Below are 12,371 nucleotides of genomic sequence, written 5' to 3'. Positions count from 1 at the left end.
ACATTGGTTTACTCTAGCCTTATTTTCCCTTTTTGTATACACCAGGACAGCTAGGAAGAGATAGGTTGCTTTCAGAAAGCTATACGGGGGAATTGACAACACATTCTGAGTGAGGTTTTGTTTATCACACACATCTTTTATGTGGCATGATGGCTTCCTAGGCCGAGGGATTGCAATGAGTACTCAACTTCTGAAATATACAAGCCAAGCACAATTGGTTTGGGTGCTGCAAAGAGGAAGTCACTAACCAGGAAACACCTAAAGGAGGTGTTAGAGGGAGTAGTTCAGGCAATGACTCATTAACCGATGCTTTGAGTCATTTCTGAATGTGAGAATATGGAGCTTCAATGTTTTTCTCAAGTGAAACAGGTAACCACATATAGACTACTTTAGCAGTTGTTTTGTTGGAGCGGTAATTCTTACAAATCATGTGGATCTATCATGCACTGAATATCCTCAACCATAGAATTCATCAGACTCTGACCTGTAGAAACATTACGGCCAAATTAGAACCACCTCTTCATTTTATGGGCGAGATAACTAAGGTCAAGGTGAGCAAAATGACTTGCCTAAGATCATAGTCCTCAAAATGGTATCATACACCTGAAAGAGCATCAGTACATCAAAGCAGAGATGGGGGTAATGGAACAATGGTAGTGAGTGACAGGTGAAGAAAGTGAGAGTTTTTGGAGCTAAAATAAATGAATAGACTAACATTTACCTGGTGTGAATATCTGAAAAAGTGGCCTGGTGTTAGGTCGTTTAAGTGATTTTCTCATTTGACCTTACCAAATAATCCCAGGATGTATATATTATTTCTACAAATAAGTAAATTAGGCTGAGAAATGAAGCAAGTTGCCCAGGGTCACAGAATTAGTATGTAATAAAACAGAAAGTGAAATTTAAGTTTGTCTGATGCCCAAAACACATATTTTTTTTTTTCACTTCTAAGCGTGTTATGTTTGTCTGGGAAAATATGGTCTGTGAATATCTTATTTTATACGGACAAATAGGGCCTTATTACCTCTTTGCACAGGAGAGAAAATTTATAAAATAGATTGGTCTTTCTCACTTTTTTGAAGTTATGGTCTCCTAGAGAATCTGATGACAGTTCTAGACCATATCCAAGGAAATGAAATAGGTCTGAACATACACATTCAATTTTAAGTACCTCCCAAAGCTCATCCATAAAATCCCTAGAGTTCTACAGACACGGGTTTAAAACTCATAATGATTTTCTTGAGAATATAAATAAAGTGAATCTGAGGCTAAAACATTCTCTCCAAATCTTCTAACACCCTACAGTCTTCTAGTTTTTCTTATTATATTTGAACTCGTAGTAATTTGCAAAGTATTCATGATCTGGACAATTGCTCATTTTAACTACTTTCGTATCTACTCAATTCCTTCCTCTTTAAAAAAATGTAATGTGTTTGTTTCTTAAAGCTATAAGAAATAAACAATATTAATAATAGTGGCCATATAAATTTTTATAGGAGTGATTTAAGCTGAATTACTGATTACAATATCTTTGGGAGGTATGAAATGGAAATACTATGCATGTTGCTATAGTCTAACTGTTTGTGTCTCCTCAAAATTCATGCATTGAAATCCTGACCCCCAAGGTGATGGTATTAGGAGGTGGGTCCTTTTGGGATATGATTAGGTCATGAGGGTGGAGCCCTCATGAATGAGATTAATGTCTTTATAAAGCAGGCCCAAGGGAGCTTGTTCACTTTTTCCACCATGTGAGGACACAGCAAGAAGGCACCTTCTATGAACCAGAAAGCCCTCACCAGACACCAAATCTGCTAGCACCTTGATTTTGGATTTCCAAGCCTCCAGAACTGTGAGAGATAAATATCTGTTGTTTAAAAGCTACTCACTTTATGATGTTTTGTTGTAGCAGCCTGAATGAACTAAGACATGTACTAACTATAGAAACACACATATAAGTAGGCATACTTAAGCACTTCCCACATTGCATTTACTTACTCCTTTTCCATTATGTTATTCTTGTGCTTTATATTCTCTGAATCATTGGGAAGAGTACTATTTATATATTTCTTGGAGATATCACATATTATTGAGGATGTGGTCATCTCTTCTCTTGGGCTTTCTGAAGTCTCTTGAATTTCTGTCTCTGTTGTCTGAATTATGCCATGAGTCTCTTCCCTGTTGCCATTTATGTTCTCAACAGTCATGTGTTCTATTTGTTTATCATCTTCATTTTCTGCATTATCTGGGAACATTTTATTCTGTGACTCTTCTTGCCCCAGTACACGTCCATTCAGTGATGTATTGTTTTCTTTTTCCACTAATGCTGAACTCATATGTGTTTTATTTTTTTCTAACTGGACCTGGTTTGTGTAATGACTTTCCTCTCCATTTGTGGGAGAAACAGTAGCTGTTTCTATGACATTTAGTTCCCCTCTTGCAGCAATGTCTGCTGCTTTGGTATCTTGAATGGAGGACATTGTCTGCTGTGGAGTACATTCATCATGCATGCCGCATAAATTACAAATCTCCTTTTCTTCTTTCTTTAGAAGTGCAGCAGTGCTCCCCAAATGTTCAGTTATTTTTATGAGGCAGTCTATGAAAGTAATGATTTCTACACACACATACATGGACACACAAAGAATAAATACAAAACTAAACCAAATTATGTTTCTGCACTGACATCTAATGAAACATGGCAAGATAATTTTAGAAACCTACAAAGACCTTTACTGTGCATTTAAGCCAAACTCCTGAAGGAGAAGTAATTGTATAACTGTCACTCTTTTAACAATTGTAGGATTGACAACAAACCATTTTTAACATGGTAGCAAAGAGTAAATCTAATCCCTCTTGCTTATAAAGATACTTCGAATATTTAAAGACAAATGTCATAACCTCTTGCTCCCCCAATAAGAACTGAAGTCAACATCTCCCTCAATTGTTTTTCATTTGGTATGATTTTGAGAACTCTTCTTTTACCACTGGATGTACAATAGTTTATCAATGATCCATTTAAAATGCTGGGCTGAAAATTAGGCGAACACTCCAGATGAGGCTTGGGTGGCAGAAACACCATACCTCCATTATTTCTGCCAATGTAGATGCTTTGTTTTGGAGCCTAGTTTACTGCTATAAGAATTGGATTAGGTTTATACTATTCCTCCTGATGAATTTGTGAGCATTGGAAATTTTCAAATTAGTCCTTCAGAGAATAGCTCTGACCATACCAATTCTCTGATTGGAACCTGAAGTGGCTACTCAAAGCCTACTAACTCAGGTCAACCTTCTTCACTCTGAAGTAAACTCTTAGCATGATCAAATCTTATATAATCTCTCACTCCGTCATCATTCTTCCCACTCTCCTATTTGTTCATCCTGCTTCTCCTCACTACTGAGGTCACCTGATGACTTCTTGCAGGCTTAGTACCTCTCTAGTCTTTAGAATTCAGTTCTGAACTAAAGAATAGGTAATTTAAGGCCCCATAGCTTAGTGTTTTTAAAGCCATCACCAAATCATCCCTTCACCAGTCAGGGCTTTTCTTTGGGATCCAGTTCTGACAACTTGTGTTTTGTTTTGTTTTGTTTTTGTCTTATACCTGAGAACTTGTCTTTATTTTTAACTCCTATTCTGGTAACCAAGTCCTTGTTTTTTTCTGAATATATATTTGCTTGTTATATTGCCAAAGACCATGTTCCACTCCCTCCAGAGGCTAAAGGTCTCATTGTGGGCTGCAGCTGATGGCTTCTCAGTCATGCTGCCTTTAGACAGATTTCCCTGATGCCCACTATTTGCCCTTTAGATTGAATTTCTTAACATCATCTACCCTGGATTTCCTCATAGATGGAACCTGCCCACTTATCTTGATACTGTATTATTTAGAGTTGAATTTCATGATGCCACCTATATGCTTATCTGGAGTAACTGTTGTTATCTAGGATTATATTCATCAGATTCCACATTCTTCCTGCCTTACTGTACTTTTCCACATCCATAACTGGACCTATTCCCAAGAATCCCTCTCCAGCCCCAGTGCATGGGGATCCAATTCCCTATCCCAACCCACTCCAGTCTTCCCAGTAATTTTGCAATCAATAAGGCTAAGCTCAAATGACCCTAGAGATAGAATACTATATTCTGATATAAAAAACAAACTACTAGCTCTGCCTCAGTGGCCTGTATTTTCCTGTCTCTAAGTCTTGGATCCTACTAAAATTACCGACTCTCTCTTTCCTGCTGCATAAATCCAATTCACTCTTTAAGCTTCAGCTTAAATACTACATTTTTCTAGCAAACTTCTCAATTCCCCACCCTACAGATGGGATTTAAACTGCTTCTGAAGTCCAAAAGCACTTCATTCATGTGTTTCTAATGGGACTGGCCCCAATGTCCCTGGCATTATTGTGCATTTGTCTCAACTTATTTCCCCTTTGAAATTGTTAGTCTCTTGTGGACAGAAACTCTATCTTAGCCTATCTGGTATACTCATAGCCCCTCTCAGATCTTGCCCTAATCAATATTTCTTAGAGAAAGAATAAACTAAAAAAAAGAATACTTGCCTTTTCTCGAGACACATTGATTCTCTTTGTCAAGCAGCACATGCAGCTGCTGGCAGGTGGAACGCAGGGTGCCTGAGGTGTGCTCCAGCAGCTGGTGAAGGGCACTGCTGAGTTCCTGACCCAGAAAGACCACAGTGGCCATCCAAGTGGCCCCACCAGCCCCCTCACAAAGGTCATCACCCAAGAGTGCCTGCTTTAGCATCTGGTTTTGTCTCCAAATCTGCTTCAATATTTGGCCCAGTTTACCTGAGCCCATGTATTCCATATCCATTTTATGATCCAAAAGTGGTATTTTCTCTCCTGCCAGCAAAGCCTAAAGGTTTTGCAAATTCAAACTTTGTGATTGTTATTTCTCCTAAACTCTAGGAGATGATCCGAGTCAGCTAGCCCAGCACTTTCTCACAACATAGTGGTTATTCAGTTTGGTGTTGACTAGTGAAAAGTTACTAGGTGACCGAAGAAGGGGCGTTCCTGTACCATGGGTGCTACTGTGTACAGAATACATTAATCACTGGGGTAGAGCTGACTCACATGATCCAACTCTCTGTGTAAGTTTTACAAATTCAATATACTGTGGAAGTACCAAATACTTTTCAAGTTTTGAGGCAACAAAATACAGATTCCAGGTAGGGTAAGAAGTTTATTAATCAAAGGTAAACTGTATGAACAATATTGCTGGCAGGATTCCTGTAAACTTAAAAATATTTATGAATGAAATAATGTGATGTCTGATTTTGCTTCTAAATAATCAGGGAGCATAGGGGTGGGTAGAGGTATAAAATTTGCTGTAAGAATTAATAAATGTTGAAGCTGGATATGTTTACACATGGGGTCTTGACAATTCACTCTAATTAATGTGTATATGTATAGTATTTTTATAACCAAGAGTTTAAAAAGATTCCTCTACTGGAGCAGAGCCTATTGCATTGGTTAGGAAGTTATAATTAGCATCTTCTTATGTGGTAAATCTGCAGAGACTGAGATAAGAACTTGGCCTCTGATAATTTCCCTCTAATTGGATAAAATGCCCCTTCACTGAAAGAAAGTAAACCTGAAGAGTAGCTTTCTCTAAACTAGCAAGGATTCTTTACCATATGTAATTAAAATTCAGATACAACAAGCTCTCCCCACTGCTGCCCATCTGCCTGCCAGCGCATCATATATGGGGCTATGCAATGCAGCACTTGCGGGTATTTGGAGGAAACCAGAACAGTCTGCCTCCCTCTCTCCAATCCCACTGCTCAGAGAGAACACACACCTAAGCCAAAGGAAGAGGGCAGCAAGTACATTCCAGAGAGGCTCATGTTCCCTCGGGTACTGGAACAAAATGAAAGCTTTTCAAGTGGAAGCCGGAGTGCTTCCCTCCCACAGGCAACACATTATCTCATCTTAAGCCCTGGAGTTCTAAGAGCTACACTCAGGGCACCTGGAAGACAAGATGGGAAAAACAAGCCCAGAGAATAAATAATGAAGAATGACTGCCACTGCCCTAAAGACTGTCAAAGACCCTGAAGGAAAGGAGCAGTATTGAGTACTGGTGGCTGCAGAGTGGAGAGGGGCTCCTTCACCACTAAGTGTCTTATTTTTCAGTTAACTTCTGTTCACTGAAAAGGGGACCTTTTTCGCAGTATGAGTTCATATCACTTCATGGATTGGATCATTTAAATCTTCTCAAACTAAAGACTCACTCATTCAATTCTATTTTCTTTTCTTACTCCTTAAATGGATGTGTCATTCTCAATAATAATGTACACATGGCTTTAATTCAATGCTAATTTTGAAAACTTCCTATAGCATTTACTGTGGGACAGGAACTAAGTGCTGGAGGTCAGGCCTTTTTAGGATTTCAAGAGACAGATGCATGAACAGATTATTGAAATAAAGCTTAGTCTGTGTTGAGAGCTAGAGCAGAAGTATAAAGAAAAAGTATCATAAAAGCTTTGAGGAGTTAAAAAAATAATTCTGCTTAGAGGCCTGGAAAATGTTTGAATTAGAAACTAAAGGATAAGCAGGCTATGGAGTAAAAGAAAAAAAATATTCCAGCATAGGAAATAATATGATCAAAGTCACGGAGGCATGAGATTACACAGTAGGATCAAAAATGTAAAAGTATGGCTTTGGAGGAAGGTTCAGTTAACGAGTCAGAGGTGACAAATGAAGAGTTCAGTAATTGTAGATAGTGAGGAGAAGAAATTAGAATTTTGGTTTACAGATAAGACAGAAATTGAATATATTTGAATCAGACTGCAATGTGATGAAATCTGTGCTGTAGAGATGCAGATGTATTAGATGACAGAGATATAAGAGTTAGGAGGCTCGAAGGTCTGTATAAAACAGCAACAGAGCAGATGAGAGAAGGGGATGGCGTGAGAGGGGATTTGAAGTACAGTGGATAGAACTTACTAAACTTACCAAACCATCAGATTATAGGGAGAGGAATAGAAAGTATTGAAAATGCATTCATTTATTTGAGAAATATTTATTGACCACTAGTATAAGAACTATGCTTAGTATTAGAATATGACTGAAATATTTAATTTAGGTGATTACATAGACTATAAGACTATTAAGGAATTTAAGTGGGATTTTGGGCTCGATGGGTAGATAATTTAATTTTAGATTTGTTGAGTTTGAGGTAACTCAGAAAAATTCCTTAGAATGTGTTTTAAGTTTAAAAATTAGAATAATATTGGCATATTTGAATGTTACCAGTAAATAAGTGGTAAATGAATCCCTGGAAGTAGAAGAGATCAATGGAGAATTTACCATGCACATTTTAAGTATTGAATAAAACTGATAATGAAATACTGCTTGATCATTTGAGCAGTCTACATTTATTTCTAGATATGTGGGAAAATCCTTTCTCAGGAAGAAAAAAACAAACCCAGACATTCTCTTTGTTTCATTCACATTTGCTATCCTCAAGTTTAAACTTGTTCTCTGTTTGGCTTCTTAAGAACATATAATATTTGCAAAGTGAGACCTACCACAGGCCACACTGCATTTACTTGTTAAAACACGCATCAGCATGTTCCTGCACCTTATTTTCCATTAATTGATGTCACTAACCACAGAAAGAACAGACATTTGCAGTCAAGACACCTACAGAAGTTCACTGCAGAAATTCATCTGGATGATTTTAACATTTGATTGTCATCTTCATTGTTGCTACTAGTTATTATGACTCCTTTTACTTTCTTACTGAAAATTCAGTGCTTCCATTGACGTTAGTATGCAGTCTTGAATTCATACCATTATGTGGTCAAAAAGACAACAGTTTTTCTTAACATTAAAAGTATCAGAGTGGATTAGAGATAAAATTCAAATAGTAGGATAGTTCTTTGTTTAGTACCTAAAGAAATAAAAATATGCAGTTGATTGGACAGGCTATTAATGACAGGCTATTAATTGCAAAGGTTGTGAAGACAATAAAGTTTTAAAGCATAATGAAGACTGCTATTTTTCATGGCATTTATAGTGGGTAGTGGTGGGTAGGTTAGATGTAAGCAAAAGAGTTATGTATGCCTGAAGTATTATGAGCCAATGTTATTAGTTCTATAATGTGATTTTATTTTCATTGAATTTCTGTAGTTGCCTACATCAGAGACTTTGGTACTTACAGTCCAGAATAATTTTTCCCCTTTTGAACATTCATATTCAATGTCTGGTCATCTTTTCCCTGTTTAAGATAAACTCATGCATTTGGATGATGAGTGGATGGAGAAGGAAAAGAAATTTTCTTTTTGTTTTGTTTTTGTTTTCTTTAGTAACTTTTGGACTAGTAAAATATAAATTATATATTCAAATTTTTAATGTACTTACCAATTTGAAAATGTTTTCAAAGACCACATGGTAAAAATCAAAGCTAGCACTTCTGATTAAACAAAGTAGACTAGATATATATTCCATCTCTGATTTCTAGTGAGATGCCCTGAAAAGGATAAAACAATATATAAATCCCAAAAGATAAAGAGAATGGGCAATAAAATGATAGACAAAAGACGTCAACAAACTCCTGGAAGACTAAAAGCAGATGGGCAAGTAGCAAATAATCAAACAGGGCTGAAACCTAGGCACCCAGACAGTGGAAAACAGGTGAGTTCTTGTCACAGAATCTCAGAAGTTCCCGGAATAAGAGAAAGTTAGGACCTCTGAAAGTAAAGATGAACTTAGGGCTGTAAACAGGTGTTTTTGCTGAAACTCTGTTTGGAGAGCAGGTAGATTCCCAGATACCTCGCTTCTGCCCCAAAGAACCAGGCAACAATCTCTCTCCCACACATCAGAAGCTAGAGACTTTCTCTATGAATAAATCGTGGCAGCAACACTCAGCAGAGCAGAGAACTGGAGGGGGTGCTATGCTGACCATGAGGGTTAAGTGAAATTCTATTATGAGGTGCTGCTCTATTCTTCTGCTCAACTCCAAGAACACGAGCTGGGAAGCATAACCTTCCAGGCAGAAAATGGAAAGTTTCCTCCATGGAGTAACTGAACACTCCATGAGAAAAACCTACTGATAGTGAAACTTTCAGTGTCCCTCTCCCTATTTCCAACCCCACAAGCCTGGTCTGCCCCCGCCAGATCATCCACAGTGAAGCTCTGCATCATATAAAGCTTCCAAACTAGGCTCTTCATGCCTCACTTTAAGTGGAATAACAACCAACGAGGTCAGGCATTTGAAAAAGCCTCTAATATAAAGCTAGAGACTAAAGTAAACAAACAAAAATAAAGAACTTGGGAAAAAAAACAAGAGAACAAACACAGGGAAGAGGAAAATATCAAATCAATCTATAATTAGCATGTTCAGAGTCTAGGATAAGAAGAAATAATGCACTCACAAGACAAGAAAATATTTTCTTTTTTTTTTTTTGAGACAGAGTCTCACTCTGTTGCCCAGGCTGGAGAGCAGTGTTGCAATCTCAGCTCACTGCAACCTCCGTCTCCCAGGTTCATGCCATTCTCCTGCCTCAGCCTCCTGAGTAGCTGGGACTACAGGCGCCTGCCACCACGCCCGGCTAATTTTTTGTATTTTTAGTAGAGACGGGGTTTCACTGTGTTAGCCAGGATGGTCTTGAACTCCTGACCTCGTGATCAGCCTGCCTCGGCCTCCCAAAGTGCTGGGATTACAGGCGTGAGCCACCAAGCCAGGCCGAAAATATTTTCTTTAAAAGGGGAGCATTCTGGCAATGAGAAAGGACTCACAGAAATTAAATTATGATAATAGAATTTTCTTAATATGGGAAAGAAAAAGCGGTTGAGTAAATTCCCAAAAACATCAAACAAAAAGACAAAGAGATGGACAATAGGGGTAAAATGGAGGTTAAGAAAATTAAAGGTTAAATCCAAGTGGTCCCACTAATATGAGTTCTGGAAAGAGAAAGTAGAATGAATGAAATTATCAAAGAAATAATATCGAAATATTTCTCAGAATTAAAGTATATGATATTCTAGACAGAAAGAGCCCAGAACAGTATATACAAAAAATAATCATAACCAGTCATATCAAATTCACACCAAGGATCAACATTCCAGTAGCCTCCAAAGAGGGAAAAAACTGTCACATTTAAATCAAAAGGCATTGAACTTCTCAACAGCAACACTAAGACCTAGCAAATAATGAGTTGTGATTTCAATATTCTGAGGGAAGCCTCTTTCCAATCCAGGATTCTGTTGCCAAATGCCAAATGCCAAAGCATCATTCAGGTGTGCCGAGAAAGAAAGGGCATTTCGAGTATGCAAATGTCAAACTACTTATCTCCTGTGTACCCATTTTTGGGAAGCTACTCACAGATGAACTCTATCACAAGAAACAGAATGACACAAGAAAAACGCAGACATACGAGTCAGGAAATGGAAAATCCAGCAAAAGAGAGAGAGCTAAATCAAATGCTTTAGATGAAGTCCCAGGGTGACAGCAATGCTGTGGCCCTAGAAAGCCCCCATTCCAGACTGCAGCAGTCACCTGAGTGTTTCAGAAGTCTGTCTGCAAGCAGAAAAAATGGAACTCATGAATTAGCTGATGTTTTAAACATTTTAAGAGAAGTTTTACAATTCTATTAGAGAATTGAGGAAAAGAATTGTTGATAATTTAGCAACAGAAACAAAAGACAATTATTAAAACTGGGAAAAACTAAATTGTAAAGAAAAGGATATATAATTATAGTGTATTGCATAGTTCTGTTATGAATAATATTTATACAGCCACGGTAATAAAGACGTTTATAATTACTTTAAAATAAAAATTGTGGGCTGGGCGCGGTGGCTCACGCCTGTAATCCCAGCACTTTGGGAGGCTGAGGCGGGCGGATCACGAGGTCAGGAGATCGAGACCGTCCTGGCTAACACGGTGAAACCCTGCCTCTACTAAAAACACAAAAACTTAGCCGGGTGTGGTGGTGAGCACCTGTAGTCCCAGCTACTTGGGAGGCTGAGGCAGGAGAATGGTGTGAACCCAGGAGGCAGAGATTGCAGTGAGCCGAGGTCGCGCCACTGCACTCCATCCAGCCTGGGCGACAGAGTGAGACTCTGTCTCAAAAAAAAAATAAATAAAAATAAAATAAAAATTCTGATACATGTGTATTATTAGGACGAGTATAGGAGGTATGTACATAGCAAATGTGTATAGCAGGGTGGATACAAGAGAGCAAAAAGTCTTATTTCTATAGCAGGAAGTCAAATATTTAAAAATAAATCAAACATTTAAAAACAAAGAAAAACTATTAGGAATCTGGAGGTAAGTGCCAGAAGAAACTTCTAAAAGGTTTAATGTGATTGCCTCTGGGAAAAGACATGGGAAAGAACAAAGCAACTTCTGACTTCCAGGAGCTAGCCTGGCACTACCAGCAAAGCCTTGGGGTTGCTACCAGCTGTCCTGGTACTCACAGCTAGGTGTTAGTATTCTGTTGAACATTAAAAAAAAAATTAACATGACATCAGCACTATGATGGATCAAAACAAATTGAAAATCACTCTACAATCATGTCTAAACACATGAGCATTGTTCAAGCCACAAAATACGAAACATTCCCCTCTCTCAGCTAATACGAATGAGGACTGCTTCTTAACAATTGCATCTTTAGCATTACTCTAGTCTGCCCTCTCTAAGGATAAGACTTATCGAGATACCCAATCACAGATTATAACCACTTTTAGAGAGCATCCAATTCAGAGCGGGAAACTTCCGTCGAGTCACCCAACCAAAGCCCAAATCCTGTTATAAGTCCCTTTTAACATCCTTCACCTGAGACACCCCAGGATTCTCTGTGGTGTGAGTTTTCCCTCACTGAAATGGGTAGTGAGTCCTGCTTATTCAATTATAGGTGTGCTCCTGACGGCCTTATGCTGGAGGACAATGACAGATGCTCAGGTACTTGGGGAGGAAGAAGAGCAACCTGCAAGGATCTGTTGCTTTTCTTTCAAGTTGTTGTCATACTATATGATTTTTTTAAACTATGTGTATTATATTACTTTGATATAAACTAAATTCACATGTTAAAAATGAAATAAGCCAAATGTTGCATTCCCTAGGGATCATTTGATGGTGATATTAAGGTTGACACAGCGCATCACTTCAAGTGGGTTACTTCAGATCGGCTAACATACACTCCGTTGAGTTTGTAAGAAGTAATTCACCATTTGAAAATGCTTGGAATTTGGTGGCACATGCTCAAGAATGAACTCAAATTTAAAGCAACAAATGGGCTGGGCATGAACTTCAAACAGAGGTAGAGTAACTACCACCTGGTAATGGCTTAATATCTCATACTTCATCCCGATCACAGAGCTCTAGATACAGCAGAAGGTCAACAAATGTTTGA

At 38.1% G+C, this 12,371-nt stretch overlaps 1 protein-coding gene across 11 annotated transcripts in view; it reads right to left on the bottom strand.

The window, feature by feature from the left end:
• Positions 1-4,971, bottom strand: part of DTHD1 (death domain containing 1) — a 65,896-nt gene extending 60,925 nt beyond the window's left edge. For 7 of the 11 annotated variants that reach the window (NR_160267.1, NR_165630.1, XR_007057923.1 and 4 more), the window contains exons 1-2: positions 4,558-4,971; positions 1,996-2,611 (exon numbers count right to left, since the gene is read on the bottom strand). Coding sequence is in view for 8 of the 11 variants with exons in the window: in XM_011513693.3 (XP_011511995.1) it covers positions 1,996-2,611; positions 4,558-4,828 (887 nt within the window). In the remaining 3 variants the exon portion in view is untranslated. The remainder of the gene's footprint in view (positions 1-1,995; positions 2,612-4,557) is intronic. The other 4 variants (XM_011513696.3, NM_001136536.5, XM_047415676.1 and 1 more) reach the window with 1 other exon arrangement.

This window comes from Homo sapiens, chromosome 4, assembly GCF_000001405.40.
Source record: "Homo sapiens chromosome 4, GRCh38.p14 Primary Assembly".
Classification (NCBI taxonomy): domain Eukaryota; kingdom Metazoa; phylum Chordata; class Mammalia; order Primates; family Hominidae; genus Homo; species Homo sapiens.
This window is presented reverse-complemented; position numbering and strand designations above follow the sequence as displayed.